At 44.7% G+C, this 19764-nt stretch overlaps 1 protein-coding gene across 1 annotated transcript in view; it reads left to right on the top strand.

Annotated features, from left to right (window-relative positions):
- Positions 1–19764, top strand: part of HIRA (histone cell cycle regulator) — a 101036-nt gene that overhangs the window by 3540 nt on the left and 77732 nt on the right. Inside the window, exons 2-3 of the mRNA NM_003325.4 lie at positions 17416–17478; positions 19601–19711. Of these exons, the coding sequence (NP_003316.3) occupies positions 17416–17478; positions 19601–19711 (174 nt within the window). The remainder of the gene's footprint in view (positions 1–17415; positions 17479–19600; positions 19712–19764) is intronic.

The following is a 19764-nucleotide window of genomic DNA, read 5'->3' as shown; positions in this document are numbered from 1 at the left end:
GAAATGAGCCTTGAATGTGGAATCAGACTGGGTTCAAAACTGCATCATTTACTAGCTGTAAATTCTTGGACTTATAACTCTACTTCTGGGCCTTGGTAAAATAAGACTTACCTCTTCCATTTTATCCTGGGACCAAATATAAAAGATTGTTAAATTGAAATATAATAGCTATCATTTATATAGAAGATGTGTCAGTTATTGTTCATACATACACATTTTACTTCGTGTTCTTGGATACAGTATTCTCTATATATTTTATTTTAGAATTGACCAAAATAAGCTTTATTTCTAAGTTAGGTTAAGGTCAGAAAGTAAAAACAACTAGGTTTCTGGTTTTAAAGTTTGTAGAAATATGGAGTTTGTATGTTTAGAAAATCTCGTTGAGATTCATGGCTCTTCCCAACTCTGGGCCTTTGCTCCTGAGTTTTTTCTGGAATTCTCATGCCTGGGCAGACAGCGCTTATGCTCAGCTCTTTGGTGAAGCCAGTTCTAACCAAGAGGGCCAGGACTGAAAGAGCTCTTGTCCACCTTTGGCCTTTGGTTCACACTTTGATGGCAGTGTTATGAAAAGGGATTTGGGAAATTTTCAAGAACAGGGTAATTTGCTGGTAATCACATGGCCTTATGGTGTGTATTTTCTCCTGTCCTGCGATTGGATTATTTTTACCCCTACCTTGTGTCATTCTGAAAAGGATTTGAAGCTGTCCTACTGAGACATCAGCATGAAAATTAAATAATTCAGCTTGAAGGGAAAATGTAGGCAGAATCATATAATGATAAAGTTAGGAGTGGGTGGGTAAGGTCCAGCCTGCTGCCGGAGGGCACTGCAGACCTATGTCTGAGAATTGGCAGGGAAAGGATCCTAATGGTGAGGTTATATGATTGCAGTGGTTGAGAGATAAACATGGCAGTTGCTTTAGATCAGTGGTTCTACAGGGCAATGTCTAGAGACATTTGTGGTTGTCACAACAGGGTTGGGCAGGGTACGTGCTACTGGTATCAAGTGGGTAGGGGACAAATCTGTTAAACATCGTATAGCATGCAGGACAGCCCACTCATGGAGAATTATCTAGCCCCAAATATCAATAGTGCTAAGGGTGAGAAACCCCGCTCTGAATAAGTTATTTGCCTTTTGGTGTATTTGTCTTACAGTTCCGACTAGACTGTAAGTTTCTTGAGGACAAGAATTTTGTCTTCTGTTTTTGGAATCAGATATCCTGCTCTGGAGTCTCTGTGCCCTGCTGCTTACTAAATATGTGACATAAAAAGTTTTTCCATCTCTTCCTAATCTGTTCATGAAGTCAGTAATTCTTGCCTCACCTGCTCCATGTGGTAGCTCAGAAAATGCAAATTCTCTCAGCAATTTCTCTCCTGACTTATGCCTGAAGACAGTAGGTTGATTTAGGAAAATAACCAGAGTACATCTGAAGAGTCAGAAGAAAACTGGGTGAGATTTTGCTGTGGATTTTTCACTGATTTATGCAACAAACATTGAACCTTTCTGGTAAGAGTTCTGTGGGGACCAGAGGTAAATAAGGCTCTCTCTCTGAACAGAAAGCTGTGTGGAAGATAGATGAGAGAGATTGACATACAAACCGTATTCTAGAATGCAGGGCAGGGGAAACAGGAGCTAGAGGAATAAGCGTGATAGCCCAAGGAGGAAGGGCACTTCACCAGCAGAGTCGGGTTTGTGGATGTGTCCTTGGACTGAACCTTGACGTGACTAGAATTGTGATGGCAGAGAAGGCGCTACAGCACATGAGACCATCAGGAGAAAAGGCCCAGAGGGTGAAAGCATTTAGGGAAAGACATAGAACATGTTAGGAGGGAGGCTAAACAGGGCAAGAGGGAGAATGGGGCTGGGAGGCAGAGCCTTGCCAGCAGCTTGAACTTCCTTCTTGGGGTTAGGGGAGAGAGGAGAACATTGAGGCTTCTGAGGAAGCTGGATGAAACACCCAACCTGTGTCTTAGGCAGGCCCTAGAGGAGTTAGGAATTTCTAGTCTTGGTGAGATGCTCAGGGAGACAGGGAGATCACAGGTGATGGAGGTGAGAAATAGAGAGGCACTAAAGACAGGGTAGAGGTAGAATTAATGGGACTTGGCCATGTAGGCAGGTGACTGTAGATTTGGGCCACTCTGAATGTATTTATTTACTTATATATTTTCTTTATTTATTTTGAGACAGAGTCTCGCTCTGTTACCCAGGCCAGGCTGGAGTGCAGTGGCATGGTCTCAGCTCACTGCAACCTCCACCTCCCGGGTTCAAGTGATTCTCCTACCTCAGCCTCCCGAGTAGCTGGGATTACAGGCACATGCCACCACGCCTGGCTAATTTTTGTATTTTTAGTATTCGGTATTTAGTGTTTTTGTATTTTTAATACACATTTTCGCCACGTTGGCCTGGCTGCTCTCGAACTCCTGACCTCAGGTGATCCACCCGCCTCGGCCTCCCAAAGTGCTGGTATTACAGGTGTGAGCCACCGCTCCCAGCCTCTCTCTGAATTTATTTCTTTAATATGCTGCAGAAAGAATATGGATGAAGGCCAGGAAATGGGATTTTCTTAAACATTTGTTTTACTCTAAGAAGTGGTTGAAAACTATTTTCACTTTATGAGCAGAATCATAGTTACACAGCTGGGAGGGACTTCTGAGGAGCGTCTGGCCTTGACCACTGAAGCCAAGTAGGAGACCTGCTTCCACTGTGCTGATCTTGGGTCCTGTCGGTGACCAGGAAGAGGATGCTCTGTGTCTGGCTTGACCCCTCCCTTTCCCCAGAGGTTGCTAGCATGTTCTGTTCATCCGGGGTGTTTGCCTATGGACTGCAGAAGTGTCTAGCACATGAACCAGAGGTATGGAATGAGCCCTGGGGACCAAAAATTTATGCAAAGCACATTTTATCATCCTGCCAGAGTCAGCAACAACACCTAGAAGTGAGTGGGATTGTGAACATTGTGCATATTGTCAAATAGCACAAAGGGAGTGTTGCAAATATTGTAGGGTTGCCTGCCTTGTTCCTTGTTAGCAGAACCCCAATTTTTTTGGTCTGCCTTCTGCAGGCCAACCTGCTGATAGCCCTAAGCTGATGTGTGGGTAAATGCCAAGGATTTGTTGAGGAACAGCCATGTGATGCCATTTTGGCCCTTGAGACTAGGAGGGGACGTCTGCTGGGACCTCCTAGGGAATTAAATAAGAGGAGATGCTTGACAGGCTAGTCTCTTCTGCTGGACTTTACTAGGTCTGCGTGTAAAAGCCAGCTTGGAACAGGGCCGACACTGATGACAGGAGAGGAAGACAGAGGGACACGTCTCTTTAAGTTGCTAAATTAATGCACCCTGAAGCTGACCTATCTCAGGACTTGTTATATACGATAGAAGATTACCCTCGAAATTCTCTATGACTTGCAGCATTACAGTTCACAGATGGAAACTTAGGCTGAGTGAGATGAGGTGACCCCCTGGCACCAAGATTCCACTAGATGTGATGGAGATGTGTTGAGAGTCACACTTAGACTCCAGCCCAAGCCCAGACTTACTCTTTCTAATTTGCTAAGCACTGGTCTTTGTGCTGAGGCTGGCCACTCCGTCCTGGAGAGCTTCAGGCCCATTTCCTCCTCAGAAGGACAGCTTTCAGAAACCACGTGGTACAGCATGGGACCAGGAGTCTGGTCCCTGGAGCTTGTCCTCTGACTGCTTCTGTAGCCATTCTGAGTGCCTTGGGGCTTCTAACCTGGTAGGTTTCTCTTGAAATGTGCTTGGTGAGCCTTTTCTGGCATTTGATTTTCAAGAGTTCTCTGGTTGTGGGGTATCGAGAATGTTTTCAGTGAGAAGCAGAAGGGAGAGGTCTGTGCCCCAGCCTTGGACTTTGGGTCTTCCCCATTGGCTGATTGGTCCAACTAGGTCATGTGCCCTCTCTTGCATCAATCATCGTTGCCTACTGGCTTACATAACGGGCAGAGTGGATATCTGAATAAAACTGGAGTTCTATTAGACACCTCCCTGGGGGAGCATATGCTCCTGGAAAACAGACTTTGTCTTTGCTCATGCCCTTTTCCCAGGGCCAGGAATGGTACTTGGTACACACCATAGTAGTCACTCAGTAAATGTTGAAGGAGTGCTGAGTGCTGGAAGTTGGTGATGGAAAGTGGCTGATGGATGGGCAGCTAACAGTGTCTGTTGTCCTTGGCTGGTAGAGTTGATGTACTGCAAATAAACTTCTTGTTCATCCTGGCTGGCTCTTTCTAGTGGAATCTGCTGGCAATTCCAATGATGAGGGGAAACATTCTGCCCAAGCCTTACCCAAGGAGTTCATTTACATGATTCTGTCTTCTAGAGCCTTCCATTTTAGGAAAGGAAGTGGATGAAACAGATAGCAAATGGTTTTAAAACACTCCTGGCAAAAAGAAAACCCATTTAGATTAACATTTGTTGCTCCTAAAAGCATTGTCTGCCTCGATGCATTAACAAACCTAGGGTAGGCCAATTCCCTGGGAGGCTACCCTGGCAAAAGCCACTGTGGTGAAGACCAGACAGAAGGGACAGCAGGCCTTATTTGAGGTCCAGGGATAGACCTACGTTGGAGCAGACTCCAGGTCTGCTGCATCCTCTAACAGAAGGTCTCACATGGAAAAAACAGTTGATAAATTCACTGCTGTTTTAAGAGCTGAAAATATGTGTGTGTGTGTGTGTGTGTGTGTGTGTGTGTGTGTGTGTGTATGCATGTGTGTGAGTCAGTGTGTGTATGTTTTCAGCTCTTAAAACAGCAGTGAACCAAGCAGCATGCCAGGCTCTTGAGGAGCAGCCTGTTATGCATCCTGGCCAGTGAGACTGGGATGGGATCTGCTGGGGGTTTCCTGTGTAAGTGGAAAAGAGGAGATGTGGGAGGGGAGCTTCCTGGTGAGACACATAGCGGAATCACAAACAAGATCCTGTGAATTGGAGAAACAGCAGACTTAGAGATGAGGAATGCTGAGGCAGAGGCGGGGGATAGACGGGTTTAAGTGGGACGCTTTGGCAAAGCCTGAGTGAAAAGGTAACATTTGAGCAAAGGCCTTGTTGCAGGAGTCAGATTCTGAGCTGCAGATTTTTGCATGCAGGATTATTGGGGAGGGCTCTCGGGATCCACACCATTGAAGGAGTGAAGGAAGCAGCACCAGACAGAGGGAGAAGGCAAGCTATGATGTAAGCACAGAGAAAGCCGCAGCCAGCCCTGCTGGGAGTTCTGTAGCTGGGGAGGCCCTTCAGAATTGTCGTGGATTGGGGTGGGAGACCAGGGCCCTTTACTCCCGTGTCCACAGCCTGGATATAGGCTCTTTTGGAAAGGAGACCTGACCCTGCCAAAAGAGTGCTTCCACTGAGGGCAGGTCTGACCTGGAGGAAGACTACAGGGAGCTGTTGGGGCTGCCAACACTCCACAGATAGCTATGGGAGTGTGCTTTAGTCCCTGGAGGGTAGGGACCTGGGCATGATACCACAGCATTCGCTGCAGGCCTCATGGAGATGAGGAAGGTGCCATCTGAGGGAAGAGCATTCCAGGCAGAAAGAAGAGCTGGAACTTGCCTGGAGGGTTTGAGCAGTAGCACAGATGTCATTGTGGTTGGAGCAAGGCAAGGGCTGTGAGAGAGGAGGCCAGAGAGTGAATAGCAGACTGATTGGGAGAGCCTAGTAGGCTACTAGAAGGCCTTGATTCTCACTGCAAGGGGAGCAGAGGACTACTGTGATCTGACGTGAGTTTTAGAGATCTTTCTGACTGCTACGTGGAGACTAGATTGGTTGTGGGGGACCAGAGGGAGGGAGGAGCCAGGAGACCAGTTATAATGCCAACTACTGGTAGTAATCCAAGCAAGAGATGGTCTGGATCAGGATGGTGATGGCTGTGATGGCAAGAAATGGTTGGAGCTGGTGGGGGAGACTCTGTGTGTGTGTGTGTTTATGTAATACATTACATGTATATATGTGTTTATATGTATATGTAATATATATATGTATATATATATATGTGTATGTGTGTGTGTGTGTGTGTGTGTATATATAAACACATTCTTTTCAGGTATAAATAAAATGTCCAGACCTTAAATGTATAATGTGTTGACTTTTGACAAGTTAATGTACTTTGTAACCTGTTCCCTGATAAAGTTAAGGAACATTTGCATCTCTCCTGAAAGTTTGGGTTATGGGTATGTTGGGAAGGTAGGGTCAAATATGGGGTATGAGATAAGATAGAACAGGCCGGGCATGGTGGCTCACACCTGTAATCCCAGCACTTTGGGAGGCCAAGGCAGGCAGATCACTTGAGGTTAGGAGTTCAAGACCAGTCTGGCCAACATGGCAAAAATGCGTCTCTACTAAAAATACAAAAATTAGCCAGGTGTGGTGGCATGTACCTGTAGTCCCAGCAACTCGGGAGGCTGAGGCAGGAGAATTGCTTGAAACCCAGAGTGGGAGGTTGCAGTGAGCTGAGGTCGCATCACTGCGGTCCAGCCTGGGTGACAGAGCAAGACTCCATCTCATACACACACACACACAAAAGAGTTAAGAGAGAACAGAAGGATGAGTTCCAGTCTAAGGGCAGAGTTGCTATCTACTGAGCTCAGTAAGACTGTGAAAGAAGTTAGGAAAAATTAGAAAATGCACAAAGGAAAACACATTGTTAAAACTTTTAATGTGGTCTTTCAAACCATTTGGAAAAAAACAACTGGGTGATTTTGTGATTTTAGAAGACGCATTTAGTGTATGCACATTATACAAGTGTCTGAATTTTTTTAAGACTTTAACCAAATCCCCATCAGTCACCATAGCAAATCCAATGTCTTTGGTGTGTAGCCTCCCTTACAGACCTTGCATTGTACAGATAACTGGCATAGCTAAAATGTTGCTGTGCATTTTTTTTTTTTTTTTTGAGACGGAGTTTCGCTTTTGTTGCCCAGGCTGGAGTGCAATGGTGCAACCTCGGCTCACTGCAATCTCTGCCTCCAGGGTTCAAGCGATTCTCCTGCCTCAGCCTTCCGATTAGCTGGGATTACAGGCACTTGCCACCACACCCAATAAATTTTTTGTATTTTTAGTAGAGATGGGGTTTCACCATGTTGGCCAGGCTGGTTTTGAACTCCTGACCTCAGGTGATCCACCCGCCTCGACCTCCCAAAGTGCTGGGATTACAGGCGTGAGCCACTGCGCCCAGCCTGCTGTGCATTTTTCACTTAAATAGTATTGTAGGTTTGTTGTCTTCTTAATTGTGGTTATTGTTGAGCTAGCAGATTTTTCCCACTATGGAAATGTAGCTTTTAATTTTCTAATGGAAGTAGGTGGAAGGGACTAGATTTATAGGAGTACATTTTGCAGATAACTTTTTGTTGTTAAATTTAAGGGATGTAAGTGCAGTTTTGTTACATGGATATATTGCTTAGTGATGAAGTCTGGGCTTTTAGTGCAACCATCACCTGAATAATATACATTGTACCCTTGCAGATAACTTTTTTTTTTAAAGACAAGGTCTTACTTTGTCGCTCAGAATGGAGTACAGTGGCATGACCATAGTTCACTGCAGCCTTGAGCTCCTGGGCTCAAGCAATCCTCCTGTGCAGATACTTTTTAGGGAATACCTCTGTTTTGCAAAATGAGGGGGGAAAGAAGTATTAAGAAACAGAAATGCCTTTCGTCAAAACTTTTTTGTTTTTTGGGGTTTTGTTTGTTTGTTTGTTTTTTGTTTTGGTTTGGTTTTTTTTTTTTTTTTTTTGAGACAGTTTTTTTTGTTGCCCAGGCTGCAGTGCAGTGGCGTGATCACGGCTCACTGCAGCCTCGACCTCCCGAGCTCAATAGATCCTCCCACCTCAGCCTCCTGAGTAGCTGAGACTACAGGCTTGCACCACCACTACTGGGTAATTTTTGTTTTTTGTTTTTAATTTGTAGAGATGGGGTTCACCATGTTGCCTAAAGTGGTCTCGAATTCCTCAGAGCAAGTGATCTGCCTGCCTTGGCCTCCCAAAGTGCTGGGATTACAGGAGTGAGCCACTGCGCCCAATCTCAAAACTTTGTTGATTATATGTTGGCAGATGCTTCAGGAGAAGTGATTAAGGTCTCCTAAATGATATACCTGTGACACTTTTCCACTTTAGTTTGTGGCGCGTGCACACACACACACACACACACACACACACAATGGTTGTATGGTGCAACAGCTTCCTTCCTGTGCTATGTTTTCAATCTCTTAGGCATCTGACACCTATGAGATGTCATTGTGTCATGCTTACTAAAGAAGATGGGGATAAGTTTTTGTGGTCGAAAGTGGTAGAGATAACAGCAGCAGATGGCTGTGAACCAGCCAAGGGTGTGCTTCCCACCTGCAGGCAGTTGGCGAAATCTGAGTCCCCACAGCAGTAGATCAGGAGCCTGCCTTCCAAAGATTGTTACACCAGTGATACTGAAGGTGTTTGAATGTAGTGCTTCTGTCATGAGCTTTCTCCAGCCATTCAACAGCAACAAGTTTTTATTGTTGTGCCTGTTATGTGCCAAGCCACAGCTCTGGGTCCTGAGGATGAATTAGTGAATAAAACAGACAAAAGAGCTGATCTACTTACTGGAGTTTACATTCTAGTGGGCAGAGTAGACAGACATACAATAAAGGAAATTAATATGTAAGAAATTCCCGAGGAAATAAATAGATCAGGACTAAGGGGATTTGTTGTGCCACATTGGGGAAATAATCCTTTAAATTAAAGTTGTTAGAGTAGGCCTCAATGTGAGGGTGACATTGAGCAAAGACCTGAAGGAGGCAAGGAAGAGTCAGTACAAGGCCCAAGATAGGAGCGCACCTGGTACAGTCCAAGAAAAGAGGAAGACCAGCGATGGTGGGGGTTAGTAGGAGATGAGGTCAGAAAAGTCGTGGGGGCGGGGTGGCCATTGTGCAAGGATTGTTGGCCTCTCCTCTCAAGGTCTGGCCTTAACTGTGTTGGGGCAGACAGTGGGTAGAGCAGGTTTCTTGGAAAGATCAGACCGTTATAGAGAAGATCAGGGTGAGGTGTCTAGAAGGCAGTCAGCCATAGGAGTTACTTGCATATAGGTCACATTAGTGTGTTTGGCTGATGAGTTTCTCCAGAGGGATTGCTTGTTATAGAGTGTGCATATTGTCACCTGCACATGAAAAGAATCATTTTTATTATGACCTAACCTCTGGTGTTTGGATATTTACCTCTACTGCCTTATATATTAGTACACACACATATATATCGTTTTTTAAAAACAGGCCTTGTGTGTGTGTGTGTGTGTGTGTGTGTTTATTTCTTATCGAGATGATTATAGATTCACACCGAATTGTATGAAATACTGAGAAGGTACTTCTGGACTTAGTCCAGTTTCTCCCAATGTTAACATTTTGCAAAACTATAGTTGACATTGACATATGCTACCTATTTTTTAAAATTTATTTCCCCAGTTTTGTTTGTACTTATTTGTGCGTGTGTATGTTTAGTTCTATACAATTTTGTCACCTGTGCAGGTTCATGTATCTACCACTGCAGTCGAGATGCTGAACAGTTCCAACAATTTTTATATATTTTTTATTTTTATTTTTTTGAGACAGAGTCTCGCTCTGTTGCCCAGGCTGGAACAGGCGCGATCTCGGCTCACTGCAAGCTCCGCCTCCCAGGTTCATGCCATTCTCCTGCCTCAGCCTCCCAAGTAGCTGGGACTACAGGCGCCTGCCACCACCATGCCTGGCAATTTTTTTTTTTTGTATTTTTAATAGAGACGGGGTTTCACCGTGTTAGTCAGGATGGTCTCAATCTCCTGACCTCATGATCCACCCGCCTCAGCCTCCCAAAGTGTTGGGATTACAGGTGTGAGCCACCGCACCCCGCCAACAATTTTTATAATTACACCCACCTCCCTCCTACACTCCTCCATTTTATTTATTTTTATTTTTGGTTTTGTTTGGTTTTTATTAGCATTTTAAAAATTGTGGTCAGATATTCACAATATAAAATTTACTATCTTAATCATTTTTAAGTATGTAATTCAGTACTGTCACAATTCACATTATTGTGCAGCCAGTCTCCGGAACATTTTCATCTTGCAAACCTTTATACCAATTAAGCAACAACTCCCTATTTTCCCCTCAACTCAGACGTAGGCAACCACCATTCTACTTTGTGTTTCTATGAATTTGACTATTCATAGATAGCTCATATAAGTGGAATCCTATGACATTTGTCTTTTTTCACTTACCATAATGTCTTTGAGGTTCATCCACATTGTAGTGTGCATCAGAACTACTTTCCTTTTTAAGGCTAAATAATATTCCATTGTATGGATATATACCACATTTTGTTCATCCATTCATCGGTCAAGGGACACTTGGGTTGCTTCCACCTCTTGGCTGTAGTGAATAGTACTGCTATGAACATGGGTGTACAAATAGCTCTTCAAGACCCTTTCTTTTGGTTATATACCCAGAAGTATAATTGCCAGGTCATATGGTAATTATATTTTTAACAAGAGTTACAATTTCTGTACACCCTCATCAACACTTATTTCCTGAGGTTTTTTGTAAGTAGCCATCTTTTTATTTATTTATTTTTTTTGAGACGGAGTCTCACTGTGTCTCCAGGCTGGAGTGCAGTGGCGGGATCTTGGCCCACTGCAACCTCCGCCTCCCAGGTTCAAGTGATTCTCCTGCCTCAGCCTCCCGAGTAGCTGGGACTACAGGCACACGCTACCATGCCCAGCTAATTTTTGTATTTTTAGTAGAGATGGGGTTTCACCATGTTGGCCAGGATGGTCTTGATCTCTTGACCTCTTGATCCACCCACCTTAGCCTCTCAAAGTGCTGGGATTACAGGCATGAGCCACCGCACCCAGCCGTTAGTAGCCATCTTAATGGATGTGAGGTAATACGTAATTGTGGTTTTGACTTGCATTTCTCTACTGGTTACTGATGTTGACATCTTTTCATGTGCTTGTTGGTTATTTGTGTATCTTTTCTTTTCTTTTCTTTTCTTTTTTGAGACAGAGTCTCACACTGTCGCCCAGGCTGGAGTGCAATGGCACGATCTCAGCTCACTGCAACCTCTGCCCCCTGGGTTCAAGTGATTCTCCTGCTTCAGCCTCCAGAGTAGATAGGACTACAGGCACCCACCACCACGCTTGGCTAATTTTTGTAGTTTTAGAAGAGATGGGGTTTCACCATGTTGGCCAGGCTGGTCTTGAATTCTTTACCTCAGGTGATCCACCCACCTCAGCCTCCCAAAGTGCTGGGATTACAGATGTGAGCCATTGCACCGTGCCTCATTTGTATATCTTCTTTGGAGAAATGCCTGTTCAAGTTATTTGCCCAATTTTGAGTCACGTTGTTGAGTTTCAGGATTTCTCTATATATTCTGGACATTAATCCCTTATCAGATATGTAATTTGCAGATATTTCTCCCATTCTATGGGTTGCCTTTTTATTCTGTTGATATTTTCCTTTGATGCACAAAAGTTTTTAATTTTGATAAAGTTCAGTTTATTTTTCTTTTATTGTCTGTGCCTTTAGTCTCATATCTAAGAAATTATTGCCAAATTCATGGTCAGATGCAGTGGTGCACGCCTATAATCCTAGCACTTTGGGACGTAAAGGTAGCAGATCGCTTGAACTCAGGAGTTTGAGACCAGTCTGGGCAACATGGTGAAACCCCATCTCTACAAGAAATACAAAAATTAGCCAGGCGTGGTGGTGCGCACCAGGCGTGGTTGTGCCCTCAGTCCCCAACTACTCAGGAGACTGAGGTGGGAGGGTTGCTTGAGCCTGGAAGGTTGAGGCTGCAGTGGGCCAAGATCATACCACTGCACTCCAGCCTGGGCGACAGAATGAGGTGCTGTCTCAAAAAAAAAGAAAAGAAAGAAAGAAAAAAGAAAAAGAAATTACTGCCAAATCCAATCTTGTGAAGCTTTTCCCCTATGTTTCCTTCTAAGATATATATGCAGGTCTTTGATCCATTTTGAGTTAATTGTATATGGTATGAGATAGGGATCCAACTTCATTCTTTTGCATGTGCAGTTTTCGCAGCACCATTTGTAAAAGAGACTGTTCTTTCCCCATTGAATGGTCTTGGCCCCTTGTCAAAATCATTTGATCATATACACAACAGTTTATTTCTGGGCTCTGTATTCTGTTGTTCTAGGTGTCTGTCTATGCCTGTACTTCACTGTTCTGATTACTGTAGCTTTGTAGTAAGTTTTGAAATAAGGAAATGCGAGATCCTCAACTTTGTACTTTTTGAAGATTCTTTTGACTGTTCAGAGTCCCTTAAGATTCCATGTGAATTTTGGGATCGATTTTTTTTTTTATTTCTGCAGAAAGTACCATTGGGATTTTCATAGGGATTGCATTAAGCCTACAAATCACTTTTAAGAGTTTTGACATCTTTTTTTTTTGAGACGGAGTTTCACTCTTGTTGCCCAGGCTGGAGTGCAATGGCACAAAATTGGCTCACTGCAACCTCCACCTCCCGGGTTCAAGCAATTCTCCTGCCTCAGCCTCCCAAGTAGCTGGGATTATAGGCATGTGCTACCATGTCCGGCCAATTTTTGTATTTTTAGTAGAGACAGGGTTTCTCCATGTTGATCAGGCTGGTCTTGGACTCCCAACCTCATGTGATCCACCCACCTCAGCCTCCCAAAGTGCTGGGATTACAGGCATGAGCCACTGTGCCCAGCCTAACATCTTAAAGTTATTAAATCTTCTAGTCCATGAGTACATATATAATGTTTTTTCATTTATTTGTGTCTTTGATTTCCTTCAGCAGTGTTTTATATTTTATAGTTTCAGTGTACAAGTCTTTCGCCTCCTGGGCTAAGTTTATTCCTACAAATTTTATTCATTTTGATTCTGTTGTAAATTGAATTGTTTTCTTAATTTCCCTTTCAGATTGTTCATTGTTGGTGTATAGAAATGCAGATGACTTTTGTTTGTTGATTTTGTATCCTGCAACTTTGCTGAATTCATTATTAGCACTAATAGTTTTTCTGTGGAATTTTTAGGGTTTTCTACATTTAAGATTATGTTGTTTGTAGCTGGGCGGGGTGGCTCAAGCCTGTAATTCCAGCACTTTTTAGCCAGGCATGGTGGCACACACCTATAGTCCCAGCTACTCGGGAGGCTGAGGCAGGAGAATCGCTTGAACTTAGGAGGTAGAGGTTGCAGTGAGCTGAGATTGCGTTACTGCACTCCAGCCTGGGTGACAGAGTGAGATTTCGTCTCAAAATAAATAAATAAATAAATAAATAAGTTTGTGTTGTTTGCACCCACCTTATATATTTTTTGTTTTGTTTTGTTTCTTGAGACAGTCTCACTCTGTCACCCAGGCTGGAGTGCAATGGTGCGCCTGTTGGTCAGGCTGGTCTCAAACTCCTGACCTCAAGTGATCTACCTGCCTTGGCTTCCCAAAGTGCTGGGATTACCGGCGTGAGCCACCATGACCGGCCCCACCTTATATTTTAGTATTGTTCTGTAACTGTTTCATTTAATAAATGTTTCAAACATTTTCTTATTTTTAATTCTAAATTTGTCAACATTGGTTAAAACCAAGTTCTATTGGGCAGTGCAGGAAGTGTTCCCAGGAGCAACATTCACTGGGCAAAAGCCTCAACTTTCCCAAGCTTCATTCCAAAAGGACATATGCACATGTGTTCCAGTCAGCTCTACCCAATGAACTATCAGAACATAAAAGCCCAGAGACTTTTTGGAGCCAAACCAAAGGTCTGTGGGACTGCTGAGAGGGAAGGGCCAGCAGCTCTCCATTGTGCCCTCTCTGCTTTGCCTCTGGCCACCTCTCTGTGCTCAGAGTTTAAGTTCCCATGTTTAGTCCTCTTCTAGGAATCTTTCCCCTAGTGTGAAGGAGGGTACGATTCTACCTGAGCATGCCCTGTCATAATCCCAGCTTCCTTAATGTATTCTTTATTCCCTGCCAGGTGGAAAGCATTTGTGCTGCTCTTGTCAAATCAGCAAATCCCCAGACAGTAGACAGTGGCTGACTATATTGGCTGTGTATTGGGTGTGCAGGGACAACATTCTGATCTGGGGTTGATCTAAGGATAGGTGATTGCTTGGTGTCTCTAGAGTCTAGGGTGTGTTAATTTGTCTTTTCTTTCTGTCTCTATTACAAAGAAAGGCCAGACACTGGAGGTAGTTGGGAACTCATCTTTGTCATCATCATGCTGTGCCACAGGAAGAGTTGTCTAACTAGCTCAGCCAGAAGGTCCCTTTCCTTAGCTCCACCTCAGAGAGCCCTTTAGAAGAGGTTCATTCCTGGCCGGGCACGGTGGCCGGGATTACCCCTGTAATCCCAGCACTTTGGGAGGCTGAGGTGGTCGGATCATGAGGTCAGGAGATCGAGACCATCCTGGCTAACATGGTGAAACCCTGTTTCTACTAAAAATACCAAAATTAGCTGGGCGTGGTAGCAGGCACCTGTAGTCCCAGCTATTCAGGAGGCTGAGGCAGGAGAATGGCGTGAACCTGGGAGACGGAGCTTGCAGTGAGTGGAGATCACGCCACTGCACTCTAGCCTGGGCGACAGAGCGAAACTCTGTCTATAAATAAATAAATAAATAAATAAATAAATAAATAGTTTCATTCCCACTAATGGAATGTGAGTGACTGCTTTCCTTGGGATGGAAAGGCCTAGTGCTGTAAGGAGGCGGGGAGCCAGCACTGCGCTGGTATCTGTGTAGGTCCCCTACCATATTTCATCTAATCTGCATAGCACTAGGAAAGGAAACCTGGTGCCAATGAACCAGGCACGCCTTCTCAAAATAATAAAAATAAAATAAAATAAAATCTCAAGGCTTTGTAGCTGGGTAAGTGGCAGGGCTAAAGATTCAGCCCATGATGTTTAATGCCAAAACCCAAACTTGTTGCCAGCCTCCATCCCTGCCTTCCCCTGGAGCCTTGAGGCCCCCACCCCCATTTTCCACACTGCTATTGTGGAGCCAGAATGTGAATCTGACCTTGGCATTACCCTGCCTTGAAAGTACCTTTAGAGAAATGTCTCAGCTCCTTACTGATGCTTGCTGAGCCATCTCTGTCTCCTCTTCTTTCTCACACTCTCTACCTGCAGTCTGCTCTGCAACATTACATCAGCCTATTTCTTGATTCCATGCCGTGCGTCCCCTCAGCCTGAAAACCCTCTCCTTCACCCGATCTTCTGGCTAACTCTTACTCAACCCTTGGGACCCAATTCAGTTATTATTTCTGCAGGAAGCCCGAGGCTGAGTCAGGTGGCTTTCTGCTTGTGAAGTGTCCATCAGTGGACATCTTACTAGGGGAGTTTGTATGATTATGTATCTTTACTTTCTCATTGCTTAGCCTAATGCCTGGCACATAGTAGAAATCTGCAAACAGAGACTGAGTGAGAAAACATGCAGTTGATGCTGTGAGTGGGCATGATCTAAAGCGCATGGGCTGTAATTGGTTACTTGTGCAGCTGAGCCCTCAGCACAGCCTGGCTCAGCCTGTACGTGCTCTTGGGTAGTCAGGGGAACTGTGACTTGCAGGTAAGGGTTTCTGGTGTGCTTCTTGAGGGGACTGATGTAATACAATGTCTCACAGACTTATGGAACTGAAAAGCACTCCAAGGGGAGGGGAATGTTCCGCCCTGATTGCCCGTCAAGACCAAAGCTGTCAGCTAGAACATTTTTTGTTAAAATGACAAATGCCCAGCTCAAGCTGGCTTAAGCAGAAAAGCAAATGAATTGGCATTTTGGTTTATCTCTTATATGACAAACCCCTAAATTTGCTGGCTTAAACCAATAACAGTTTTATTATTTGCTCATAATTCTGCAGCTTGTCAGGACTTAGCAGGTTCAGCTCATCTTGGCTCTATGGAATCTGCTGGGATGGCTCGAATAGCTTGGGGATAGAACACCTCACCAGGCCTGTGTCTGTGACCTTGATTCTCACTTGTCCGGGCTCTTTGATGCTCTACATGTGGCCAGCTTGGGCCTCTTCAAAACATGGTGGTCTCAGGGTACTTGGACTTCTCACATGACAACTAGGTTTCTCCAGAGAGCCAAAGTTGAACTGCTAGACTCTTAAGGCCTACACCTGGAACTGGAGCAACATTACTTCTGTCATTTCCCTTTGGTTAAAACGGGTCCCAGGTGTTTCAGATAAGGGATACTCAACCTATACTACATAGTGACCAGTAAGAAGGAAAGTGTATTTTATCTCAAGTTCATGCTTGATTTGACTACATGGCTGCGGCTCTCCACAGCTGGGTGCTGCCTGGGTCCCATGCTGGGCAGTGCCTTTTGGGCACCAGCATTTAATTTTCACACTTGCATGGGAGCCCTGGCAGGACTTCACAGTTCTCAGACAGCCACTGCCTGCCCACACACTCCTGATCCCAGTACTTGCTGAGTGATTCTAGGGCTGGTGACTCTGGTACTGTGTCCACATTGCCTCCTCTTGGGTGACAGAGACAGAACATGTTCAATTAAGAGACTCTTGGCAACAGCCCATCTATATCAGCAATTGTTGATGCTCAGATCATTGTCATGTATCTCCTTTGTCAATGAACAAATATTACTGCGCTACTGTACACTGGGTACTGTGCTAGAGGCTGAAGATGTGATGAACTCAACAGCAACTGACATGCCACTTGTAGCTCTTAAACCTTTGTCCTAGAAGCAGGGAGCTGGACAAATGCCCACCAGGCGTGAGTGCCTTCTATGGTCTGCTGGGTTTCAAGCTCCTACAGTGCTTTTGCCGGTCTGATCCACCCACCCAGCCAGCCAGCTAGCTTCATGGGATCCTAGTGCAAGCCTAGGCCCATACTGGGCTCTTTGGGGCTTCTAAGAACTAATAGCCACAGTCCTTTCTCCTGGAGGAATTGAACAGCTAATTTAACATAGAGTACAAACTGTGAAGGAGGTTCAGCCAGAGGAGATGCTGAGATGGCAGACGGTATGGGAACTTCACAGCACAAACAAAAGAGGGCTGTTTGGAAGCAGAAGTATGACAAGCGAAGCAATGCTCCTTGGTTGCAGCCAGCGCTGGTCCTGCTCAGCTGTCAGCCAGAAAAGACAAATAGCAGTCCTTCTGTCTAGGCTGCCAGTCAAGTGCAGATCCATGCAATAGGGAGATGTCTGGAGTTACAGCTGTGTGCCCTTTTCACTAAGTACCTGAGACTCAGAACTTCAATCATGAACAGCTCATAGCCATTACAAACACACATCCCTACAAGATGGCAGACAAATGCCCAGGCATCCTATGGGCTCAGCCATTCTCAGTGATGGAATGCTTTCTCCCACTGTTGGACTTTCAGTTGTCTGATGTTTGGAGAATCTTCTAGCAGTTTAGACTTTAACTGAATCTGTTGAGTTTGATACACTTCAATGAATAAAAGCCAATTTAGATACTGTATTTTTTTTTCTTTGTTTCCAGGCAAGCCGATTTTTTCAGTTGATATTCACCCTGACGGGACCAAGTTCGCAACTGGAGGACAAGGTATGTTTATGGAATAAAGAAAGGGAAAGCTTAACAGCCCTGCCACCTTGCTCTTCTCCTGCTGTCCATTTAGCTGTAGAGGGAATACTTGCTATTTTTCAGGATGGATGCAACGCTGTTTAAAATGTACAGTTATAATGTGTTATCTGAATGAATAAAATCAAAATCCTTTTATGGCTTTAGTGTGCTCTCTGTAAGTATTTTGGCAGCGGATGTATCATTCTAATTTCTGTTTATTGAGTTAATATTAAAATCAGTTTGTATCCCCAAACTTGTAGAGCATCGAGAGCGGTAGGTGGTCCAGTGGGCAAAGCCCAGCCCCAGAGACAAGGGCTCTGTCAGCATTTTTCTCATCTGAAAAAAGGGAATGAGGGTAATTTAAGCTTCTAAAGCAATCGTGTAGTTATTAGGCCCATTTTCTCGTCAAAGGAATTCAGTTAGGTTAAAGAGAAAGCACACTGTGGGCAAGTAAGAAAGCCCACACCATTTGAAACTGTTATTGGTAGTATTGCCCTTATGCTTCAGCCAGCATCTTTTGCAATGTTGCATGGTTCTATTTGGAAAGACAGAGCTGTTCTTCATGCCACAATACCAAGATGTATATATAGTGACACAATGTAGCATTCCACAGAGCCCAGCCCTCTGTCATCTTTACCCCAGAGCGGGGCCTCCCTCCAACCAGGCCTCCCCAGGCAGCACTTAGAGAGTGCCTTTGTGAGCTCTAGGTCCTCAGGCCAGGTGCTGCAGGGTGGGTTTCCAGCAGATGCTTCCACCCAGAATCAAGGAGCTGGAAGGGAGTGTAGGGAAGCTGTGGGCAGGGAAGCCTTTCTCTCCTTCCATGCTGTGGACTGCACCCGAGAGGAGGAGGTGCAGCACATGAGAGAGAACACATGGACTTAGCTGAAGGAATCAGAGGGTTCGCACCTGTACCCAGAAGACACACATTTTGCCACCTTGGTCCAGCAGAGATGTTTTGGAAATACTTTTACATATTGGCCAAGAGGCAGTTTCAAACATGCTTTATGGTAATTTTGGCATGTTCATTGGATTTGGCCCTATTATAATAGGAAAATTAAGTGAGGGGCTAAACTTCGTTAGATATCAGTGATGGAAAGCTTAGAAATCATTACTAAGGCTGGGCACGGTGGCTCACGCCTGTGATTTCAGCACTTTGGGAGGCCAAGGCAGGCGAATCATCTGAGGTCAGGAGTTCGAATCAGCCTGGCCAACATGGCGAAACCCCGTCTCTACTAAAAATACAAAAATTAGCTAGGTGTCATGGTGTTCGCCTGTAATCCCAGCTAGTCGGGAGGCTGAGATAGGAGAATCGCTGGAACCTGCGAGGCGGAGGTTGCAGTGAGCCGAGATCGTGCCACTGCACTCCAGCCTGGGAGACAGAGTGAGACTCCATCTCAAAAAAAAAAAAAGAAAAGAAATCATTACTAAAAGGCATGGGTATATTTTTTAGCCGAGCAATACATCAACTCATGACCACGGGAGCCCTAAATCCCCTCTTTTGGTGGTCTCTCGTCTGTAGGTAACTGCAAAGGGTGGATAACAAGATAATGAGCCATTTTTCCTGTGTTCAGGGTACATTTGGGTCTCAAAACAGTCGGCTCTGGAACAGCCTAAATTCCAGGCAGCACCTGGAAGGGGAGGGAAACCCCACTAGGGTGTGCTTTTCTGTTTGCTTTTTAGGGTGTACACAGAACAGAAAAGGTCTTATGACATTGACTTTCCCTTCTCCTCATTTCACAGATGAGGAGTCAAGGAGTCGGAGTCTAGGTGCTGGGCAGGGATGAAGACCTTTTAGGGACCCCTGGTGGATCCGTGTTAGAGGCCAGATCAGAGCTCAGTTCCCTCCTGATTGCTAGTCTAAAGTTCTTTTTGTAAAGTCAGGTTGACTTCTGCTGACTGCTAAGTCCGCTCCGTTTCGTCCCCATGAGTACTTATCATCTTTTCTGTAACTTAAATTAGTAATTTAAATTCAGTCTCCTTAGATCTAGTTAATTATTGTTTATGGAAGCTAAGTGAGGACTTCTCCTAATTTAATTTGACATTAAATATTAATATCAAATTTCTACTCCTTGCACATTCAGCCATTTCTGCTCCTTTGTTCCAGGGCAGGATTCTGGGAAGGTTGTGATCTGGAATATGTCTCCAGTCCTCCAGGAGGATGACGAGAAGGATGAAAATATTCCCAAGATGCTTTGCCAGATGGACAATCACTTAGGTATTACAGAGTGGCCCTTTGCAGGCTTTGCGTGTTGGCAGAGTGCCCAAGGT

The sequence above is a fragment of the Homo sapiens genome, chromosome 22 (assembly GCF_000001405.40).
Source record: "Homo sapiens chromosome 22, GRCh38.p14 Primary Assembly".
Classification (NCBI taxonomy): domain Eukaryota; kingdom Metazoa; phylum Chordata; class Mammalia; order Primates; family Hominidae; genus Homo; species Homo sapiens.
Note: the sequence above shows the minus strand (reverse complement) of the source record. Positions and strands in the feature narration are given on the sequence as shown.